The sequence below is a fragment of the Homo sapiens genome, chromosome 10 (genome assembly GCF_000001405.40).
Source record: "Homo sapiens chromosome 10, GRCh38.p14 Primary Assembly".
Lineage (NCBI taxonomy): Eukaryota > Metazoa > Chordata > Mammalia > Primates > Hominidae > Homo > Homo sapiens.
This window is the reverse complement of record NC_000010.11, coordinates 42,938,269-42,961,442: the sequence shown is the minus strand read 5'-3', so window position 1 is coordinate 42,961,442 and position 23,174 is coordinate 42,938,269. Positions and strand designations below refer to the sequence as shown.

The 23,174-nt window shown below is 48.2% G+C and overlaps 5 annotated features.

The window, feature by feature from the left end:
- Positions 473-973: an enhancer, noted in NCBI's record as "H3K4me1 hESC enhancer chr10:43455918-43456418 (GRCh37/hg19 assembly coordinates)". NCBI's record gives its function as "activates a minimal SCP1, AML or CMV promoter by ChIP-STARR-seq in naive H9 embryonic stem cells {active_cell/tissue: H9 hESC(naive)}" and the evidence as "EXISTENCE:reporter gene assay evidence [ECO:0000049][PMID:30033119]".
- Positions 7,720-8,436: an enhancer, noted in NCBI's record as "H3K4me1 hESC enhancer chr10:43448455-43449171 (GRCh37/hg19 assembly coordinates)". NCBI's record gives its function as "activates a minimal SCP1, AML or CMV promoter by ChIP-STARR-seq in primed H9 embryonic stem cells {active_cell/tissue: H9 hESC(primed)}" and the evidence as "EXISTENCE:reporter gene assay evidence [ECO:0000049][PMID:30033119]".
- Positions 7,720-9,617: a biological region, named in NCBI's record as "VISTA enhancer hs2327".
- Positions 8,264-9,617: an enhancer, noted in NCBI's record as "VISTA enhancer hs2327". NCBI's record gives its function as "enhancer in: midbrain (mesencephalon)[4/6] | dorsal root ganglion[3/6] | other[3/6]" and the evidence as "EXISTENCE:transgenic organism evidence [ECO:0001131][PMID:17130149]".
- Positions 22,180-22,680: an enhancer, noted in NCBI's record as "H3K4me1 hESC enhancer chr10:43434211-43434711 (GRCh37/hg19 assembly coordinates)". NCBI's record gives its function as "activates a minimal SCP1, AML or CMV promoter by ChIP-STARR-seq in naive H9 embryonic stem cells {active_cell/tissue: H9 hESC(naive)}" and the evidence as "EXISTENCE:reporter gene assay evidence [ECO:0000049][PMID:30033119]".

Sequence of the window (23,174 nt, the reverse complement as noted above, 5' to 3'; positions counted from 1 at the left end):
AAGGAGGCTTACGGGGCCTCAGGACAGAAGCCCTGTGCTGTGGAGCTGAGCCTGTGCGCTGTGGGCCTTGTCCCTCCTATGTGTGGGGCTGGCTGAGCCCCAAGGACAGCTGAGTGTGCTTTGGAGACAGTTAGCAACTGCTATTAGTCCTGAGAAAATTCTAGCAGTTGCTTCTCGGAGTGTCTTCTTTGGGAGAGGCCGGTGGGCAGGTGGTCAAGGGTGGCTGTTTTCCTGGCAGTGAGGCATGGCAGGAACAGGATGAGGCACTGCAGAAGCCCCACTGGCTGGTCCTGGGCTGCAGTCCCTGACCTGGTCCCGTCTGCTCCTCTGGCACCTGTGAGCACTCATGGTGCCCAAGCACATGTGGCTGCTTTCACTCCCAGTTCCCTGTCTCTATTTCTGGAGTCCCAGAGATAGAAGGCCCCCAAGTGATCTCATCAAGGCTGAGAGGGCCTCGCAGGGCAGAAAGGAGGCCCCCACTTGAACAGCTGTGGCCTGCAGTCCCCTCCGCGCCTGCTGGACTTGATGCCAGGCATGACTGCCTGCACTGGCAAGAGAGGCCCTGGCCTGAGAAGCTCCTATCCTGGCAAAAAGTGTGCCTAAGCTGGGAAGGACCCAGGTGCTGACCTGACCATCTCGCCACTGCCAAGGACAATGCTCTGGATGGCTTGCAGGTCCAGATGTCCGCCAGAGACTTCACTACTTGGCCACAGTCTCTGCTGAGGCTCAGAGGAGCCTGGGAGGAGGTAGGGGCCAGGGCTGGGCCACTTCTGACTCTGCATCAGTAGCCCTTAGTCATGCCCTTGGTATGTGACACAGGCACAGCAGGTTCGCTGCAGAACACCCACAGCTGAGCAGGCTGGCCTGTGCTAGCCCCTGCTGCCTCCTGTCCTGCCAGCAGCAAACACAGGGAAGTGCTATAGAGAGGCGTGGGGTGGGGGGTCTTAGAATTAGGGGATCCCACTGCAAGGGATCCACAGGCCCCCTGAAGGTGTATCCAACAGAAACTGTGTCTGCTGTGTGTGTTCTGTACGCCCTTGTCTAGCTTTCATCAGAATTTTTTTTGTTTTGTTTTGGAGACAGAATCTCACTCTGTAGCCTAGGCTGGAATGCAGTGGTGCAGTCATGGCTCACTGCAGCCTCAACCTCCTGGGCTCAAGTGATCCTCCTACCTCAGCATCCTGAATAGCTGGGATCATAGGCCCATGCCACCATACCTGGCTAATTTTAAAAAAAAGTTTTTGTAGAGACAGGGTCTCCCTATGTTGCCCAGGCTGGTCTCAAACTCCTAGGCTCAAGTGATCCTCCCACCTCAGCCTCCCAAAGTGCTGGAGTTATAGGTGTGAGCCACTGCAGCCGGCCTCATCAGATTCTTAAAGAGGCTCTTGACTCAAATAAAGTCAGAACTGGGGTCTGGGACACGGAGGGCTCCAGGACTCCCTGCCCCTGCAGAGGCCACTGTGGAAGTGAAGTGAACCCCACTCCAGCACCAGCAGGTCACACGTTATGTATGTTAAAGTACCTGCTACAGGTGGACTCAGGTAACAGGGGCAAGAGTTGGAAGGAAGGGACATTAGTTACCTCTCAGGATAAGACAGAACTCTCAGATCTTTCAAAATCCTAAAGACAAAACACACTTCATAATTTTAAAATTATACAATTTAAAAACTTAAAAATTGGGTTGTACTGGACACTTGGATAACATGGTGAGCTAGGTACCTGGATCAGCTCTTGCACTGAAAACCTGGACAAAATTTTATAAATAGTCTTTTAAAAACGTATTAAAGATTTAGCCAAAAGCAAGAACTTCTCAAGTCAAAACATTTGTAGAATACAGACACCCAAAAGGCAAGCCAAATTCCTGAGGGAATTTGCCAGCAACGGGAAGTTGAACTTCCAGTTTCGTGACTTCCTGGTGGGCAGAGGGCAGAAGTCAAAGCCCATGGCAGGCCCAGATTTCTGTGGGAAATCCCCACAGAGCTGAGACCCCAATCAGCTGTCTGCTCAAAGTGAGGGTCAACTGGAAATAAATCTGCCTTTCTCAAGGGTATAACAAAGAAAACCAGCCATTTTGAACCTCAGTGCCGAGAGGAAAGAGGTGAAAATCCCTGCTGAGAATTTATCAACAGAAGCCAGTGGTCTTCATGTAGATTTTTCAGCCTGAATTCATAAGATTTAGGTGGTCTGAAAACCTCAAGCTGGCAGTTCAATTTTCAACGAGACAGAGTGGTGGTGTCCCAGGTACTGGAAAGATGGAAGACAAATCGTCCCTGGAGGAACCCACAAATAATACTCCAAGGTAAAATGAAATGCTTGCAGACAAAAATAACTAACTACACATGTAAGCCAAGGAATAGAATTCAGAGCCCAGAAACAAACCCCACAATCTGTATACTTCACGTGTGCGTGATCAGTGAGGAACAGGCTGATTTTTCAATCAACGGTCCTTAGGAGACTGCAAATCCATGTGGAAAAAACTAAAACTATATCCCTACTTCATACCATTTACAAAAATCAATTCTAAGGATGAAATATCTACATGTAAAAGAAATATAAAGTTTTTAGAAGAGAATATGTACAATTATCTTCAGGACCTACAAGTGCCTCAGAAACAAAACCATAAACCATTTTGATAATGTCCTGGGGCATGCATTTTTCTAGTCTGATAAAATTAATTTTAGACAGAGATAATATTTGGATTCTTTTCTGGTCCCAGCAGGGCTCTTTTCTTGGTTCTTCCTGGTAAACTCACTGGCCTACAGTTGGCTTGTTGCCCACAGAGTGATCAGCCTGCTCTTTGCCTGCTAATAAAATCTCCACTGTTTTTGAGATAGCCCTTAGACTTGAATTTACCCACACTATTTCAAATAACCTCAGTCTTCAAGAGACACCTTTGGAGTTTGGAGCTTTGTGTTCTCCTGAGTAGCCTCTACCCCTGAGAAAAATGTCTACAACACTCCTCTTGTCACTGGGTGGGGGTGGAAGCCTCTGATCTTTTTCACTTGACTTGACTGGTGTGGAACCTATACCCTGTGAGTGAGCTGGGTGAGAGTAGTCAGCGCCTCCATGTTCTCAGCCCCCCGAACCTGGAGTAGAGCCTCCACTCATGATTCAGGAGGCAGAAGAAAGGAGCCCTAACTTCTCAGCAGCACTGTCTGGACTTTATGACACAGAGTTGGAGGGGATGATGAGACTTGGTGGCCTGCCCCTCCCAGGGTGATACAATGCATTCATTTCTGTGGCTAGTGTAAGAAAAATCACACACTTGGTGTCTTAAAACAACAGAAATTTATCTTGCCATAGTTCTGGGGGCCAGAAGTCTGCAATCAGCATCATGGGGCTGAAATTGGGGTGCTGGCAGGGCCACAGTCCCCCTGGGTGCTCTGGGGCAGGATCCATTGCTTGCCTCTTCTGCCTTCTGGTGGCTGCTCACCTCTGGTTTTCATGTTCTTTTTCCTCTTTTTCTGTCTTCCTTTTGCATTAATCAAGTATTCGTGATTACATTTTAGCTCTCTTTTTTTTTGACTCGTTAGCTATAACTCTTTGTTTGTTATTTTAGTGTTTGCTTTAAGCTTTATAGTGTGAGTCTTTAACTGATCACAATCCCTTCAAGCGATCTTGGCATCACAGGACTTTAGCATAGTCTGAGATTTTTATAGTGAGATACTTCTCCCCACCCTTATTCTATTGTTGTCAATGCTATTGGTGTCACGCTTCACTTTTACCTATCACAGACCCCACTATATATTATTTTTTGAAAGAATCAATTTTCTTTTAAAGAGACCTAAATAATAAATGTACCTGTGTAGTTCTCACCTGTAGTGATTTTCATTCCTGTTTGTAAGTGCAGATCTTCATCCAGTATCACTTTGCCTGATGGACTTCTTTTAACATTTCTTGCAGACAAGATCTGCTGATGATTTCAGCTTCTGTATGTCTGAAGAAGCCTCAACTTCACCTTCATGTTTGAAAGGCATTTTTGCTGGGTATGCAATCCTCCAATGACAGTTTTGTACAGACAGTGCTTTAATGATGTCTCTCCACTGACTTCTTGCCTGCATTGTTTCTGGTGAAAAATCTCTTATCTTCATGCTCTTTGGTCCTCTTGATGAAACGTGTCCTTGTTTTCCCGGCTGCTTTGATGATGTTTTCTTTGTTACTGGTTTTAAGCAATTTGATCATGATTGCACCTTGGTTAGTTTTCTCCTTGCTTCTTGTTCTTGCGCTTGTGGTTGGCTATGCTTGCACTAGAGTTTAAAGTGTTCATCCAGTTTGGACACTCTTCAACCACTATTTCTTCAAATATTTTTTTTCTGTTCCCACACTTCTTTGGTCACTACAATTCCAACATATATTAGGCTACTTGCGGATTTCTCCCTAGTTTGCTGATGCCCTTTACATTCATTTGTATTCCTAATTTTTTGTGTGGCTCATTTTGGGTAGTCTTTATGGCAATGTCTCTAGTCCACTAAGCTACTTTGTAATGTCTAATCTGCCGCTCATGCCATCGAGTGTACTATTTATCTCAGACATTGTAATGTTCATCTCTAGAAGTACAATTCAGGCACTTCTTAGACTTTTTGTGTCTCTCCTTAACTTATTTTTAATTTTGTGTTTTGAAATAATAGATTCACAGAAAGTTGCTGAAAAAAAATGTGGGAAAGTAGGACTAGGGTTAATGACTAGAAGCCAAGGGAAGCCCATTTTAGCTCAAAATAAGGATGTGGTTCCTGTCAGAGAAGCCTCCAGAAGGAATGGGCTGCCTGACATGTGATGAGTTTCCTTTCAACAGGGATCTAGCAGGGCCTGGATGCCTGATTGTCAGAAAGGCTGTGGTAAGATTTGTGTATTTAACACAGAACCAGCTTGGAAGGTCCCCTCAGTGAGTTACAGATCTGCTCCAGGGAACGACACCTACCAATTATTTATCAGAGATGGAAATGTGGGCCCCTGGTTGGGGGGAAGGCAGAGCCTCTCCTCGCAGACTTTGCCCCTCCCCAGATCACAAGGATGAAGTTTTCTCCTGTGGAAAACATTCTCCCAACCTCTTCTTGCCTTCAGCACCTGCTTTAGTTTGGGGTTGCAATGTGCTCAGCTTCAGAGGCTGCAATTCTGTTTGTTCCAGTCCAGTTATAGCAGCTGGGCTCTCCCTTGTCAGGCACTGGCTTCACTGGACACTCTAGCAGTTAGTAGTGGCCATGTGACCACCGTGGGCACAGTTCAGTCAAGACAAGGAGAAGCTATTGGCAAGAGGGCTTTGGCTTTCTGAAAAACGAGGGAGGAGGAAGAAGATATTTTGCTGGTGCCATCTCTTCCCTTTGTGATACGTGTGATGCTTGGGGCTGCAGCAGCCATCTTTGAAGCATGAAGGAAGGTGAGGGGACTGTAGAGACAGGAGCCAGGCTTCATGGGGTTTAACTGCAACAGGCACCTGGAGCCGCCCACCTCCTCATTCTCTGGAGGTTAGATTGTTAGTGCCTTTATTGTTTAAACCTGGGGTTAACAGATTTTGTCCCCAGGCAGGTGTGCCCTCTGCAAGCCACACTCAGTCCAAATCCCTGCCACACCACCCTGGGCCTGAGACTCAGGGCTGGATGGGGCTGCAGGGAGCCCCCACTTGCTCCATCCATGCACCTGGGCTTGCTTAGGAGAAGGCAGTGCCCATCCTGGCTGTGCCCCCACCTTTCTGTGTCCATCCAGAGGGGCCAAGCTCTCTGGGCCTGAGCCACCCACCTGGGACCAGAGAGAAGGGCCCGGAAATGTGCTCCAGGGCTCCACTGGGCCAGGAGGGAGTGGAGGCACTAAGGGTTCATCATCTACCCCAGAGATGGGATAGAAGGTGCACAGACAGGCCAGGTGGACGGGGTCCTCTCCTGAGACCAAGGCAGAGCCTCCGAAGCAGGAGATGGTGGCCCCCATTTAAGGACACCAAAAGGGAAGAGGAGAAGGGCAAGATGGTAAGTTCTTGACCCCTGTGACTAACCCACCCAGGGAGAACTGTGTGCCAGAGCAGGGTGGTTGCTTCTGTGTGCTAAAGCCTGGAAGATACAGGTGCTCCATGTCCCTGCTCATGTCTGTCCCCACCAGCCACAGGACATGTAGCCAGTCAGCCAAGCCCTATGCAGGGATGGGACCAGGTGCACGGGCCTCAGCCGCAGCAATGCTCAGTTTAGGGGCTCTAGGGCAGGGCCAGTGTCTTCTTCCAGCATCCCTTACTCCCCTGCACAGGTCAGCAGGGAGTTCTGCCTGTGCAGGGTCCCACCCAGCTCAGCACTGGTCCTTTGCAGGCCTTCCCTGATGGCTCACCAGGGTGAGGAAGCCCTTTCCAGGACCTCACCCCACGAGGTCTGTGCCTCCTCTGTGGCACTGCCCCAGCCCCCGTGAAGTCAGGCTGGCATGCATCCTGTATGCACACAGGAGCCTCCCAGGCAGCCCCAGCAGCCTCTGACCTACTGTAGGCATTGGGAGCCTGTGGGAACTGGCAATGCCAGGGACAGTCTTGATACCCCAGCTCACCTTGCCCTGGTGGGAAGCAGTGCCTGGCCAGCCCTCTGCCTCTGCATTCCAGACTCTCCAAGAAACTGAGTTGCAGCTAGGGATGGCTGGGGGTGGCCCAAGCAGGAGGCTTCCCTGGGCAACTGTGGAGGAGATATTTTTAGGTTCTGCTGTGTTTTTCATAAGAAAATATTTTTAGACCAAATTCAACCTGAGCAACATGTGGCTTCTAGCTAATTATACAATTAATCATCAGGGCTGGAATGGTGTGGGCGAGCAGGTGAGGAGCGTGCCAATGCCACTCCACCGATGGGGACACACGCAGGAAGGCCACAGCCACCGAGAGCATGGAGCACACTGCATCTGGGGCACCTGCCACCTTCCGCACTCAGGCTAGCTTGGCCCGGAGCCTCCAGGAAACCCGAGCAGTCTAGTGAGGGCTGGGGGTCTGCCCCACAGCTGCAGATCCTCCCACAGAAAAAGAAAGGTGCCCTCTCCTGGGAGGTGGGGTGCCCAGCAAAAGTCTGGGCCCTCCCGCCCCTTTTCTCTGAGGCCACCTGCACAGTGCTCCTGGCCATGTTGAAGTCACAAGGCTGGGAGCCAGTGCTTGCTTGGTAACCCCATGGGACCCAAAGGTTCAGGGGCACAGCACGCAGGTATGGGGGTCATGCCCTGTGAGAGGGGGGCTGTGATCCCTCCAGGGACCACCCCCAGTCCTGGACCCCGGTGTACCCTGATTCAGTGTCACCGTCTGTTTCCAGTTCATACAAAGGCTCATTGAGGGTGCTGACAGTTCAAGATCGTTCCTGACCAGCCCTGCTGAGCCTGTGCGTGTTGGGCGAAGCTGCACCTGGGACAAATGGTGTAGGCTCCTCACCCAGAATTCTCCCCCAAGACCCCTGCACACCTGAAATCAACCGGGTTTCCCTCCTGCATTAATCCCTACAAGGCACTCCAGAAAAGGCAGTGAGGAGACAAAACTCCTGGCCTAGCTTCAGGCTGCTTTGGCCACAGCAGAGAAATCCCCCTGAAATTGAGACGGACCCTAATCTCAGGCCTTCATAGCCCCTATAGGAACTGGATGCTGGAGCCCGGCCCAGGTCAGTACCCCTTGGGGCCCTTCTCTCCAATTTCTCTTTCTTTCATTAGACTCAGAAAGCTCAAGTCTCCGCCACCAGAGCCCCTCACGGCACCCTCTACAGCTTGCCCCATCCCTGATGGCCTCACCATCCTCTATTTTGTGCCCCTGGAAAGCCTCAAGTCATCTTTGACTCTTCCTCACCCTTAGGCCCATGGGTCCCACCAACCTTCCTCGCTGACCTGCCCACACACAGCATCCTCTCTCCATCCCTGTGCCTACAGTCTGTGGCCATTCAGGCCCTCAGGAGGCCTCCTGCCTTGGATCCCTCCTCCAGTCTTTTGAATCAGTCGGCACTCTCAGTATGTCCCCAGCATGGAGGGCCCTTCCCAGGGAAGTGACAGCCCTCCCTGGGCCTGGCAGTAAGTGAGGTCAGGGTTTCCAGGCATGACAGCTGGGGGCTGACTCCCAGGCCTAGTCCTGGTGATTGGCTGCGGGGCCGTGCCATGGGACCCTCAGTACCTCGTTTTCCCTTGATTGTGACAGAGGGACAGCAGAACCTTGCTGGAAGGGGTGCTTGAGCTTTAGGGGAGGGAACAGGAGTATTCGCCCACCCACTGCCCTCAGCCTGGCCGAGCACAGCAGGTGCTGAACAGAGCTGCAGACTAGCACCGCGACGGGTCCAGAGGGGTCTGCGGAAATGGTAGAGCAGGCCTCAGCCTGAGTGTGTGCTGTGGGCCTAGTGTGTATCTGAAATCCACAGGTTGAAGCCCTCCCCCACATGGTGATGGCATTAAGACATGGGACATTTGGGAGGTGATGAGGCCACAGGGGCGGTGCCCTGGTGAATGGGATTGGTGCCCCTACACAAGGACCTCAGAGAGCTGCTTTGCCCACCACGTGAGGACACAGGAGAAGGCACCAGGGATGAGCCAGAAGGAGAGGCCTCACCGCACAGTGGATCTGCCAGCGCCTTGCCTGGCCCTCCAGCTTTCAGAACTGTTAGACGTGTTTGTTGTTTAAGTCCCCAGTCTATGGTACTTTTTAATAGCAGCCTGGGGACTAGGACAGTTGGGGACTTCCTGCCTATAGATATTCTTCCTCCTTGTTCAAAAGAAAAACAAACAAGCAACAACAACAAAAACAAAAAAAACCGCGAGTAAACAAGACCAGACTCTCTTCTGAGTTTTAAGGGATACACATGTTAGAGCAAAACGACCCATGAGTCAAAAAGTACCTGGCAGTGCTCAACAGACGGCAGTTCCTCGCGACTGAGCTTCGGGCTGGGCGGGGCTTTCCCTCCACAGGGGTTCCCGCTGGGAGGCGCATCCCTAGCCTGGGGACAGCAGCAGGCTCTGAGAGCAAGCCCGGCTCAGGACAGGGAGGAGGGTGGTGCCTGCAGCTGGGCCTGCCCCGCCTGTGGGCCCATGTGGCTCTGCTGGTTTCTGCAGTCGGGAGGGGAGACTGGAATAGGTCATTGGTGTCGATTCTATTTTTCCCTTTTGCTTCCCTCACCTAAGAAGGGGACATTTAGACTTTTTTCAAAAGGTCTCTGTTCAGAGTGCTTCATTCAGTCGCAAGGGTGGGGGTTGCTGAGACAGAGAAGGTAGAACTGGCCGGGAGAGGGGGTGGGCCTCCTGGGATGGGGCGCAAGGCCCCAGAGTAGCTGTTAGGGTTCCACGGAGCAGGGGAAATCTCCGGCTTGCAAGGCGCGGGCCAGTGGGAGCTGGGGAAATCCGATCTCCCTGACCTGCTGCCCCGCCCCTGGCTGGTGGCCACCTCCCAGCCTGGCCTCTGTGTCCTCGGTGAGCCTCCCTCCTCCCTAAATAGTCCCAGAGCCTCCTGCCTTTGGTCGTGCCTCTGCCCAGCGCCACTCAGCCTGGAAGGCCTGGGCCACTGACCCCTCCTGGCGAATCCCTCCCCAGATCCCAGCCCGCCCTGAGACGCTGCCCTCTGATGTGCGCGGTTCCTCCGCCCGCAGTCCGAGACACCTGTCCCCTCCCCAGCCTGAGCCCGCTGAAGCCCGTGTTACCTGGGACCTGATTTCCTGCTCAGGCCACTCTCCCTGGTTCCAGGGGTCCCCCTGCCGCCCAGAGGCTGGCGGCCCCTGGCGCAGCCTGGGTGGGCCTGGCCTGGCACTGTGCCCGGCCCAACTGGGGGAGGTAGGCGCCGCCACTCACGCCCACTCGCTGACGCAGCGGTCCTCGCAGCCTGACCCAAAATAGCCTGGGCTGAGAAACCAGAGCGGTGACAAGGACGAGGCGGCCCAGCTGTTGGGAAAGCAGCATCCTCACCTCCTCCCCGCGTGTTCAAATCCAGCTGGAGCCTCATTTCCCTGGGGAGGTCTCTGTGCCGCCTCCACCCTCCACGTGTGCTCCCGAGTGTTTGCGCCCATGAGGCGGAGGGTGGGGGGAGGACGAGGGCAACGCTGCGGGTAGAACGGAACAGATGAGAGGTGCTGGCTTCAGAGTGGAAAAAGCTGAAACTTAGCTGAAGCCAAGGGGTGGTGACGGCATTAATAAGAGAAGCGAGTGACGCCCCGTGGCAGTGGGGCCCCGGGTGGCAAGAAGGGACTCAGCTGGACTCCCCCCAACCATATCAGCCCCTTCACCTGGGCCTCGGGACAGCGAGCTCACTCCCAGGACTTTGGGCTTCTGCCGTCCTGCTTGGATGAGCTCTTCCTCTAGGAGCCCGCAAGTCCCCTCTTCTCCCCTCAGCCCCTGGCAGGGTCTTCTCCTCAGGCCTCCCTAGGGCACCCCTGCTCATGGCACCCCGTCCGGGGCTCCTCCTTGGTGCTTATCTCCGGAAAAAATATGCCTGAACTTGTTTCTTATTGGTCTCCCAATCCTCAAAAATGGAAGCTTCTCCAGGACAGGACCCTGTTTGCTTTTCCAGTGCTGTGTCCCCAGCACCTGCAACAGTGCCCGGCAAACATTGGGTGCCAATAACCATTTATTGCATGAATATACGATACGGATGGCTAGAAAACGGTCGGACTCAGCTGTGAAGGGTATTTACTTAGCCAAGTGTTAAAAATAAAACATTAATTTGACCCAATATCATGATCTAACTCCATTGGAAGGAAGTGGAGAGGGAAGGATGTGTGTGTGGGGTGGGGGCGGTTGGAGGGGATGTGTAAGGGAACAGGACTGTTATTTACCCTGGGAAGAAGTCCATCATTCGGTTAACACTAAAATGGAAAAACCAAGAACCGGCAGCCTAAGCATTTTACTTAGAATCATAAAAGTAAACGTGAGAAGGAACAGCCAACAGACTCACATGGAATGCTTCTAGGGATGGGGATTAGGGCAGGGGACTGCCACTTTTCTTTATAAACCTTGTAATATGTTGAAATATTTTAGGCAATGTCTACATATTGCTTGGATGAAGTTTAACAATTAAGCAATAAAGTTGGATGCTTTATGTCATTAAATTCACAGATTGGTTTAATTTTGTTAAATCTTCTAGGCAACTTTTTTTAGTGATTTTTTTATTTAATTAAACTTTTTATTTTGAATAATTGTAAATTCACATACGGTTCTACGAAATAAAACAGAGAGATCTTGTGTACTTTTTACCTAATTTCCTCCAGAGGTAACATCTTATAAAACTATACTACAGTGTTGGCCAGGCATGGTGGCTCATGCCTGTAATCCCAGCACTTTGGGAGGTCAAGGCGGGTGGATCACCTGAGGTAGGGAGTTTGAGACCAGCCTGACCAACACGGAGAAACGCTCTTTCTACTAAAAATACAAAATTAGCTGAGCATGGTGGCGCGCGCCTGTAATCCCAGCTACTCGGGAGGCTGAGGCAGGAGAATCGCTTGAACCTGAGAGGCGGAGGTTGTGGTGAGCCGAGATCGTGCCACTGCACTCCAGCCTGGGCAACAAGTGTGAGAGTCCATTTTAAAAAAAAAAAACCACACACACACACACACACACACACACACACACACACAAACTATACTACAATGTCACAATCAGGATGCTGACATTGATACTGTGGAGAGACAGAACATCCCCTCCCCACCAGGATCCCTCACGTTTCTCTTTTATAGCCACACCCACTTCCCTCCCAGCTCCCTCAAGGAGAGGAATTCCCTGCCCCTAACCCCATCCTGCCCTTAACCCCTGGGAGCCATTAAGCTAACCTAGTCTGCATTTCTATTAAACCTTAGTTACTTTTGCACCATTTTAATGTAATGTTGTCATTTCAAGAATGTTATATAAATGGAATCATACAGTGTGTAACAATTTGGCACTGGCGATTTCACAGAGCATGATTCTCTGCAGGCTCACCCAGGTTGATGCGTGTAACAAGAGTTTGGTCCTTTTTTCCACTGAGCAGTATTCCATGGTATGGATGTACCATAGTGTGTTTAAACCATTCACCCAATAAAGGACATCTGGGGTGTTCCCAGTTTTCAACTACTATCTAAAAAAGCTGCTGTGAACTTTTATGTACAGATTTTTGAGTAAGCATAAGTCTTCATTTCTCTGATATAAATTGCCAGGAATGCAGTTACTGGGTCATATGGTAGTGGCATACTTAGTTTTTAAAGAAACTGACAAACTGTTTTCTGGAGTGCCTTTATCATTTTACATTCTTACCAGCAATGCATGAATGATCCAGTTTCTCTGTATCCTTGCCAGCATTTGCTGGTGTCACTATTTTTTTATTTTTATTTTAGCCATTCTGATAAGGGTGTAGTGGTTTTAGTTTACACATTGCTGACAGTCAGTTTTATGTGCTTATTTGCCATTTCTTTGGTAAAAGATCGCTTTACGTCTGCCTGTTTGCTAATTGGATTTTTTGTTGTTTTGTTCTGAGAATTCTTTGCATATTTTAGACTATTTCTTTGTCAGATATGTGGTTTGCAAATATTTTCTCCCAGTCTGTAGATTGTCTTTTCATCCTCTTAATAGGATCTTTTGCAGAGCAAAAGGTTTTCATTCTGATGAATCCAACTTATCAATTTTTCTTTTTATGGATTTTGCTTCTGGCATCAAATCTAAGAACACTGCCTAGTTCTAAATCCTGAAAAGTTTCTATTATTTTTTGCTAAAAGTTTTATAGTTTTACATTTTATGTTTAAATCCATTATCCTTTTTAAGTTAATTTTAAAAAATCAGATGTGAGATTTAGGTGAAGGTTCAGGTTTCTGTTTGGTTGGTTTTGGCCTACAACTGTCTGATTTCTCCAGCATCATCTTTGCTCCATTGAATTATTTTTGCACCTTTGTCTAAAATCAGCTGGACCTATTGCTGTGGGTTTATTTCTGGGTTCTCTACTCTGTTCCATTAATCTATGTAACTAACTCTCCACCAATGCTACACAGTCTTGATAAATGTAGCTAAATAATATATTAAAATCACATAGATTGATTCCTCCCACTTTATCCTTTTTCAAAATTGTTTTAGCTATTCCAGTTCCTTTGCATTTCCATGTAAATTTTAGAATGACGTCTATATCTTCAAAAAATCTTGCTGAGATTTTGATAGAAATTGTGTTAAACCTGAAAACCAACTTAGAGAGAGTTGATATCTTCCTATGTTGAGACTTCCAATCCATGAACACAGTAAGTCTCTCCATTTATCTAGATTTTTAAAAAATTTCTCTAAATTTGTTTCATCAGCATTTTGTAGTTTTTGGCATATAAGTCTTGAACATGTTTTGTTAGAATTATACCTAAGTATTTCATCAATTTTAGTTACTGTAATTTTTAATTCCAGTGTCCCTGTGTTCATGCTAGTGTATAGAAATTCACCGGTTTCTTTGTATGTTTACCTCATATCCCAAGACTTTGCTGAACTTATTTATTAGTGATGGTTTTGTTTTGGTTTTGGTTTTTTGCTTTTTTGGCTTTTTTTTTTTTTTTTGGTAAATTTCTTAGAATTTCCTATATAGACAATCATGTCATTAGCAAACAGGGGAAGTTTTATTTCTTCCTCCCCAGCCTGAATGCCTTTTATTTCTTTTTCTTGCTTTATTGCACTGTCTAGAAAGTCTAGGATGCTGCTGAACAGAAGTGGCAAGAGAAGCACCCTTGCCTTTCTCCTGATCTTTGAGGAAATTATCCAGTCTTTCACCAGTAGGTATAATGTTAAATGTTAGGTTTTTGTCAATGTTCTTTATTGAGTTGAGGACATTCCCCTCAGTTCTTATTTTTCTGAGTTTCTTTATGAATAGGTATTGAATTTAATTTTTTGTTTTCATAAAATACACGTAACTTAAAATTTACCATTCTAAGCAGTATAAACTGTACATTCAGTAACATTTAGGACATTTACAATGTTGTGCAACTATCACCGCTGTCTAGCTCCAGAATATTTTTACCACCCCAGAGGGAAGCCCAGACTGTTAAACAGCCAGTCATTCCCCATACCCCCATCCCTCAAGGGTGCTGAATTTTGTCAAATACATTTTCTTCCTCAATTAATATGATTATGTGATTTTTCTTCTTTAGCCTGTTTATCAAGTGGATTACACTTATTGATTTTCACATATTGGAACTGCTTTTGCATCCCTGGAATAAACCCTACTTGATCATGGCATATAATTATTTTTATATATTGCTGAGTTTTATTTGCCAATATTTTGTTAGGAATATTTATATCTATATTTATGAGGAATATTGGCCTATGGTTTTCTTTTTTAACACTCTCTTAGTCTGTTACAGATGAATCATGTCATTAGCAAACAGGGGCAGCTATTACTTCCTTCCCAGTCTGAATTCCTTTTATTTCTTAGTCGGTTACAGACTAAGACAGAATTAGTTTTGTGTCAGGGTAATACTACCAATAGTATTGGGAAGCATTTGCTCCTGTTCTATTTTCTGGAAAAGACTGTGTAGAATTGGTGTTAATTCTTCTTTAAACATTTGGTACAATTTTCCAGTGATACTATCTCGACCTGAAGATTTCTTTTTGAGGAGGTTTTAAATTATGAATTCAATTTTACTAATGGCTATAGGCTATTTATTTCACATTCAGTGAATTGTAGTTGGTTTTGGAGGGACTCATCCATTTTATGTAAGTTGTCAAATTTATGTGTGCAGAGTTGTTCATAGTATTCTCTTGATTTCCTTCAGTCTTCAGGGTCTGCAGTCATATCCTGTTTCATTCACGATATTAATGATTTGTGTTTTCTCTTTTTTCTTTGTCAGTCTTGCTAAAGGTTTATCAATTTTATTGATCTTTTAAAAGAATCTGCTTTTTTGTTTCATTTATTTTATCTATAGTTTCTCTGTTTAAAATTTCATAAATTTCATTCTGCCTTTATTTTTATTATTCCCTCCTGCTTGCTTTGGGTTTATTTTGCTCTTCTTTTCTAGATTTTTGAGGTGTAAAAATAGATTAATGACTTAAGATGTTCCCTCTTCTGTGATGTAGGCATTTAGTGCTATCCACCATCTTCTCAGCACTATTTTAGCTGTATCCTACTAATTTTGGTATATTGCATTTTCATTTTTCTTTTCATTTAGTCTAACGTTGTTTATATATCCCTTGAGATTTCCTATGAGTCATGGATTATTTAGAAATGTGTTGTTTTGTTTTCAATTGTTTAGAGATTTTCTTATTATCCTTCCACTGTTGGTTTCTAGTTGAATTCCATTACAGTCAGAGAACATGCTCTACAAAATTTCAATTGTTTTAAAAATTTTGAGGTTTATTTTAAGGCCTACATACAGTCTATTTTGGAATATGTTCCACGGGCATTTGAAAAGAATGTGTATTTGGCCAGGCACAGTGGCTCACGCCTGTAATCCCAGCACTTTGGGAGGCCGAAGTGGGCAGATCACGAAGTCAGGAGATGGAGACCATCCTGGCTAACACAGTGAAACCCCATCTCTACTAAAAATACAAAAAAATTAGCCAGATGTGGCGGTGTGCGCCTGTAGTCCCAGCTGCTGGGGAGGCTGAGGCAGGAGAATGGCATGAACCCGGGAGGCAGAGCTTGCAGTGAGCCAAGATCATGCCACTGCACTCCAGCCTGAGCGACACAGCAAGTCTCTATCTCAAAAAAAAAAAAAAAAGAAAAGAAAAGAAAAGAAAAGAATATGTATTCTTCTTTTGCTGCATGGAGTTTTCTCCATCTGTTGAATAGATAACGTTCTTTGATGGTGTTGCTGAGTTCTATATCCTTACTAATTTTCTGTTAGTAGTTCTGTGAATTATTGAAAGTAGTTCTATGTTGGAATAGTAGTTCTATGAATTGTTGAAAGAAGTGTAGATTTATATATTTCTCATTTTAGTTTGATCAGATTTTGCTTCACATATTTTTTGGCTCTTTTGTTAGGTACATACATGTTTAGAATTGCTATGACTTCTTGGTGGGTGACCCATTCATCCTTATATAATGACCCTTTCTGTCTCCAGCAATTTTCTTTGCTCTAAAATATACTTTATCTGGTATTAATATACTTATTCCTGCTTTCTTTTTTTTGATTGATGTTTGTGTAAGGTATCTTTTCCCGTCATTTTACTTCCAGCCTACACATATCATTATATTTGAAGTGAGTTTCTTATAGACAGCATATAGGTGGGTCATATTTTTAGTGTATTCTGTCCATCTCTGTCTTTTAATTGGTATATTTAGACCATTTGCATTTTCACATAATTATTGACATGTTAGGGCTTAAGTTGTCCATTTTATGTTTTGTTTTGGTTTTCTGTTTGTTCTCACTATTTTTAGTATATCTGAGCTTTTTTCCCTTTCCTATGGGTTATTTAAAGTTTTTTAGAATTCCAGCTTGATTTGTCTATAGTGTTTTTTTTTTTATTTTTCTCACTCTGTCACCCAGGCTGGAGTGCAGTGGTGCGATCTCCGCTCACTGCAAGCTCTGCCTCCCAGGTTCACGCTATTCTCCTGCCTCAGTCTCCCGAGTAGCTGGGACTACAGGTGCCCGACACCACGCCCAGCTAATTTTTTTTCTATTTTTAGTAGAGACAGGGTTTCACCATGTTAGCCAGGATGGTCTCGATCTCCTGACCTCGTGATCCGCCCACCTCGGCCTCCCAAAGGGCTGGGATTACAGGTATGAGCCACCATGCCCAGCCTATAGTGTGTTTTGAGTGTGTCTTTTTGTATAGCTTTTAAAACGGCTATTTGATGTATTACATTATATATACATAATTTAGTGTACTGATGTTAATATTTTACCAGTTTAAGTAGAGTACAGAAAACTCATGCCCCTTCAAGCTACTTTACCCTCCTATATTTGTAATACAATTGTCTTAAATATTTTCTCGACATGCATTCAGAAATACATCAGACAATATAATTTTTGTGAAAACGGTCAAATATAATTTAGAAAACCAAAAATGAGAAGGAAATGTTTACCAATATTTTTTACTCCTACTGTTTTTCTCTTCCTTTCTGATGCTTCAAGATTCCTTATTTTTAATATTTTCTTTCTGTTTAGAGAACTTCCTTTAATCATTCTAGGGTAGGTCAGCTATTGTCAAATTCTGTTACTTTTCTTTCATTTGAGAATATCTTAATTTCCTTTGTTCCTGAAGAATATTTTACTGGAAATAGAATTCTGAGTTGATAGTTATTTTCTTTCAGCACTTGAAAAATGTGCCACTTTTGACCTCTGTGCTTTCTAATGAGAAATCTGTCGTCGTTCTTATTTTTTTTCCCTATAGGTAGGAAGGGGTCTTTTCTCTCCCAACTACTTTTAAGATTTTTTCTTTGTTTTTATTTTTCAGGAGTTTAACCGTGATGTGTCGTGGTGTGGATTTTTTTGGTTTATCCTATTTGAGTAACTCAGCTTCTTGAATTCGTAAGTGTGTGTCTTTTGCCAGATTTAGGGAGTTTCAACCATTGTATCTTTGAGTCCTTTTTAAGGCCCACCTCTTTCTCCTCTCCTTCTGAGACTCAATAACATGAATTAGATGTTTTGTTACAGTCTCACAGGTTCCTGAGGGATTGTTCTTTTTGTTTTCATTTTCAATCTATTGTAGCTTTGTTGTTCAGATTAAATAATTTCTATAGTTTCTCTTGGAGTTCATGGATGTGTTCCTTTGTCCCCCCATGCTGCTGCTGAGCTCCTGTATTGTGTTATTTGTGCAGTATGTTATGAAATTCTGAATGTGAGTTGAAACCTTCTGGTTTAGCTGGCGGCTTCTGACACCACTCTGGCAGGCACAGTGTGGAAGGTGGGAGTAGGAGTCCAGGTTCCCCCGAAGGCTCCTGCTCCCTGTGCAGCCTCCACTGACACCACGGGGTGGAAGGGGCTGGTTACTGCCTGGTGGGGATGAAGGTCCTGGCCCCTCACTGAGCCCTCTCTGATACCACTCATCAGGGAGACAGGGAGATTGGGCAACTCATTACAGCCTGGCCAGGGTGGAAGTCCAGGCTCCCCACTCGGCCTTTGATGGTGTGAGTGGGAACAAGCCACCATTTTTTATATGGTGTTTGGCTGGAGTAGCTGGTTATTGTCTAAAATTTTATGTCTATTTTGCAGAGAACAAAACAGAATTTGAGAGGGTGACTCTGTCCCAAGTCTCACGGCTGGGAGGAGCGGAGCTGTCTTGATGGCGCCCAGCACCCGCACAGCTCCCGGAGAAGGGGCTGGCTCCCACAGCTGGAGAGTGACCTGCCAGCTCCCTGCTGAAAAGCCTCTTTGGTCCTCCTTTCTCCTCCAGAAGGAAGTCCCACCTCCTCAGCCTGGCATCCAGGGCCCCTCTCAGACTGACTCTTCTGAAAGTATCAACCATGCCAACCCTTGCTTCAAATCCCAGTTTCCTGCACTGGGAATGGAACCCATGCCCCAGGCTGCAGGCTTCTCTGGCCTTTTCACTTTGCTGGCTCACTTGGCTCCATCATGCTGGCCTTTCTCCTGCCTGGAACACAGCAAATCCATTCCTGCCACAGGGCCTTTGCTCTGCTGCTCTCCGCCCTAGACAGCTGTCAGCACATCTGGCTTCTCCTTGTTGGCTACCTTGGCAGACAGACTTCTCCAGCACCCCACTACATTTGCATGATGTCCCCATCCCACCAGCCCTGCTTTATATTCTTCATATATATGCATCCAGAATGGATCATCTTGTCTCCGCCCAGGCCCAGTAAGTAGCTGCTGCAAGAATAAATGGACATGTGCTGAGGGCTGGCTGGCTCCAGCTGCTTGGATATCTCTGCTGGGCTATCTGGAGCAGCTCAGGCTGGTTAGCCATGGCCTCTGCCCTGGGAGAGTGTCCACACGGGGCCAGGGGCCATGCTTGTTGGCAGAAGGACCCAGTGAAGCCCAAGAACTAAGGAAGCTGCTAAAACCCCCTGCTGAATAGATGACATCTGTCCCTCCCTGATGCAGTGTTGACTAGAGCCTTGTCCCTCCTGAGAAAAAACAGCCTGGGCCCTCCGTGCACAGATGAGTCCCACCCCTGGCCCACGGACTCCTTGTCTGTAGTAGGTGGACCTGGGCCTCCGAGTGCAGGGTGGGAGCAAGGCCCGGTTCCTCATCCTGCTCCTGTGCATCCCTGGCCATGTATCTTGCCCTCTCTGGCCTCCATTTGCTGCCCTGTAAAGTGAGGCACGAAGTCTCAATGTTCTTACAGTTCTCCATGCATGTGCCTCACCTGGTGGCTGGATTCAGGCTGCCCAGAGGCTGCAGCCTGGACAGAGTGGGCCCATAGCAGCTGAAAAAGGACAGCAGCTGCTCATTAAAATGGAGCTGCATGTTTTGGGTGCCCCATACTGGGAAAGAAGTGAGGACATCTGGGCTCTTCTGCCTGGGGCCTTTGCACCCAGGCCAGGCCGGCCTCTTCTAGGCCTCCAGGTTCATCTCTGTGTAGCTGAGTGAGCTCTGTTGGTCAGTACCCTCAGAGTCTGGGCAGTCGCAGAGTCAGGAACTGGCTAGGGAGGTTCTTCATGAGTGTCCCTCCCTCACTGTCATCTCCCCAGGAGACAGGAGCCCCAGAGTGACGTCCTGCCTGCATCCTCCAAAGCTGGAGTGGAGCCTGCGGGTGACACGTGTGTGAACACTTGTCAGTCATGCATTGGGATGGATGGAGCAACAAATGGGTACAGATATGCTGGTGAGGGGCTCCTGGTCATTACTTAAGGGTTTATTGAGGATCATTTAAGAGTTGATTGATTATTGGAAGTTGCATATCTGCAGCCATCTTGCTGTCACACATATGCTTGGGAGATGCAGAGAGTACAGGAATGCAGCACCCTCAAGGAGCGGGTGCGGTTTGAAGCCCCTGCATTATGGAGGGACCCAGAGGGTGATCGATAATGCAGACGGCGTTTATGAGAGCAAATGAGGGAGCGAGAGTGCCGGGCACGGCCAGAGCACAGCAAAGGCTGCACGCCCCACCACTGCCCCTGGGCCCAGCCCTGGATGTGCACAGCCTGAGGCTGCCCACATCCCGCGCCTCCAGCTTGGAGTTTCCCGGGCCAAGGGGAACGTGGGGGTGGGAAAATGTCACTTCTCATTTCCTTTGACCAGCTCTAGACGAAACAGAGCTTGCTTTTCTGAGAGGCTCCTAATTAAATGATAAAAATGTTTACCTTCACGGTGACTTTGCCAACTCCCATCCACCTCTCCCTGGCCCGGCTCCTGGCTCTCTGCAGAGCCTGGAGGACGCAGAATGACAAGTCGTCTCCAGGGGCAAGCAGCGCACCTCCAGAGCAATGAGATTGTGCACCCTCATTTTGGGGAGATTTATGGCTGGCTCCTGGGGCATTCCAGCTCAGAACTCTGTGGCCCAGATTCGTCTGCTGGGGAAGTTCCTGTAAGCGGAGCCTCCATACGAATTCCAGTTACAGTCAGATGAGATCCCATTCATAAGGGCTGCCTTCGACAGGCTGCTCTTCTTCTGCCCTGGCCTGTCCTTGAGCTGCCAAAGCTGCCGCCAGCCTTTGAGAGAAAGGAAATCACGTCGGGCTGGGCCACGGTTTCCTGGCAAGCGGGGGAGGCGAGGACAGGGGCTGTGCCTGGAGCTGAGGGGCGCTGGGGCCCGCGTGGAGCAGGAATGTGCAGGCTGTGACAGTCCTGCAGCTCTAGTCTGGGACCATCCTCTGTACCCCCCGCAGACTCTTCTGAAAGGGTGGGGATGTGTGGGGTGGGGACGTGCGGACACTGCCATGGTCTGAGGTCTGAGGTCTGGGGTCTCCTGACCTTGTTTCTGAAATAACCCCTAGTGTTCTGGAACCAGAGCCCAAGGCCTTGATGGACCAGGAGGCTTCGCAACCGCAGCCTGCAGAGATCCCTGGATGCACCAGGGCCTGGGTCTCCGGTGCTGTGGCAGCACCTGCTCTGACCACAGGCCACAGCTCCTGGGGGTCCTGGGTGAGCGGTCCGTGGGCGACCTCCACACAGCCATTAGTGCATCTGCAGATGGATGTTCCCCCCAGCCCAAGACCCCAAGGACTAAATATAAACCCAAGGAAGCAATTATCCAAGTATTGATTATGGATTAGGCTAACGACATTACCAATCACATCTAAAGATGCGCCAGCCTGTTAATGGTGTGCATGAGGGATTAAGGCTGCTAATTAGGAAATACAGTAGGTTATCCCCAGCTTTAATTACAGAGTCCAAGGAGAAGGGAGATGGCTTCCTGAAGACCCCGTGGCAGGGGCCTGGTGGGCTGCATCCATCACCCGCAGCCTGGAATTAGGAAATTCTTATTGTCTCCAGACCCACTGAAGTCTGGAGGGGGCCCAGAAGGGGAGAAGGGGCTGAAAGGCCGCAGAGCACCGGGAAGGAGGCTGAGGCCTGTGCCAAGTGGGGCCATGGCAGTCATGAGAAAGGGATGCTCTGGGGATTGTAGACAACCTAGGAAGCCCCAAGTCCCTTCCTGAGAGGAACAGGGGTTCCTGTAAAGGTCCTGCTCCAGATTCCATCCCTCACAGATGCACAGGGGTGGAAGTTCTGGCCGCACGCGCTGGGCCAGGCCTTTGTTGCCTTGGTGGTCAGGGCCTGGGCCTCTCCATCCAGGGCAGGAGGCAGGGCACGTTGGTTTCCTCCATCTCTGGGGTTTTCCTGCGCTCCCCCTCGGCTGGGACCACCTCTCTCCTTCCCGTGCCACCCCTGCCTGTGTCTTGCCTGCCTATTGGTTTCTGCTCAGCGTCACCCGGGAAGTCTCCCCTGCCTTTCCCGATGAGAAGCCCCTCTCTATGCTCAAGGAGGGCCCTCTGGGTGGCCGTGGTGGAGGGCTGAAGCCCAGTTTCCCGCCCCAGATCATACCTCAGTAAACAGCGACTGAGCAGGAGAATCTTTTCCTCATTATATTTTCATTTACTGTACAGGTGCTCCTCAACTTTGAGGGGGTTACATCCTGATAAACTCATCATATGTTGAAAATAAGGTGAGTTGAGAGTGCATTTAATCCACCCAATCTAGCAAGCATCACAGCTGAGCCCAGCCCGCTTAAGCGCGCTTGGAGCACTCACTTTCACCTACAGTTGGGCAGAATCAGCCAGCGCCACAGCGTCCTGGAGTAGCAGCTGTTTGGCCTGCAGTCATATGTTGGCCGAGAGCTGTGCTCACGCCACTGCCCAGCATCTGAAGGGATCATTGTATTGCATATCACCAAATCTGAAGTTCGTGTTCTACCGAGTGCATATTGCGGTCACACCAGTGTAAAGGTGAAAAATCACAAGTCCTAAGAATCCGAAGTCATTAATACATTTTTTGTTAAAAATACAGACCTTGATTAAAATTGTTTCCACTTTGCCACCGTCCATGAGGCCAGAGGAGGCATGGGCGGAGATGAGTGTCAGTGCCTCTAGAGCCTCCTGAGCGCATGAGCCCACAGGTCGTGCCCACAGAAACACAGAGTGCTGCTTTCTTTTTCTTTCATTTTCTTTTTTTGAGGAGTCTCACTCTGTCACCAGGCTGGAGTGCAGTAGCGCGATCTCGGCTCACTGCAACCTCCGCCTCCCAGATTCAAGCGATTCTCCTGCCTCAGCCTCCCGAGTGGCTGGGATTACAGGCACGTGCCACCATGCCCAGCTAATTTTTGTATTTTTAGTGGGTTTCACCATGTTGACCAAGATGGACTTGATCTCTTGACTTTGTGATCTGACTGCCTCGGCCTCCCAAAGTGCTGAGATTACAGGCGTGAGCCACCCCCTGCCCCCAGCCCAGAGCACCGCTTTCTGTGCCTCTCATTTACACGACACCGAATCTATGTGCCACCACTTAGCCGTCTAGCTGATGTTCATGCAGGTTCACCACCTCCCAGGTGCCAGCTAGGAGAGCATGCTGTGCGAGCAGCATGTGATCAGACAGGGCCCCTGGGCACCTGTCTCACCTCAGCGAGGAGCATGGTGCACATTGAGGGGCAGTGGTTAGCAAAGGCTGCTTTGGGAAGCGGCCTCAGGGCCGGCTCCAGTGGGGAGAACAGAGTGAAGGATGCGTGGCAGCCTTGAGGTGGATGAGAGGTCAGAGAAAGGCCATAGGAGAGCAGAGGGCCCAGGAGCTGGGCTGGGGGCAAGGGCAGGCAGTGAAGGAGGGGCCAGGGAGGGCCTGGAAGGCAGGGAGTGGGTTTATCTTGATTCCAAGAGCAGTGGGTCTGGTGTGCACGGAACATTTTCACTGACCTTGGAGATCATCCTGTGTCTACCTCATTGTAGACGTTGTCTA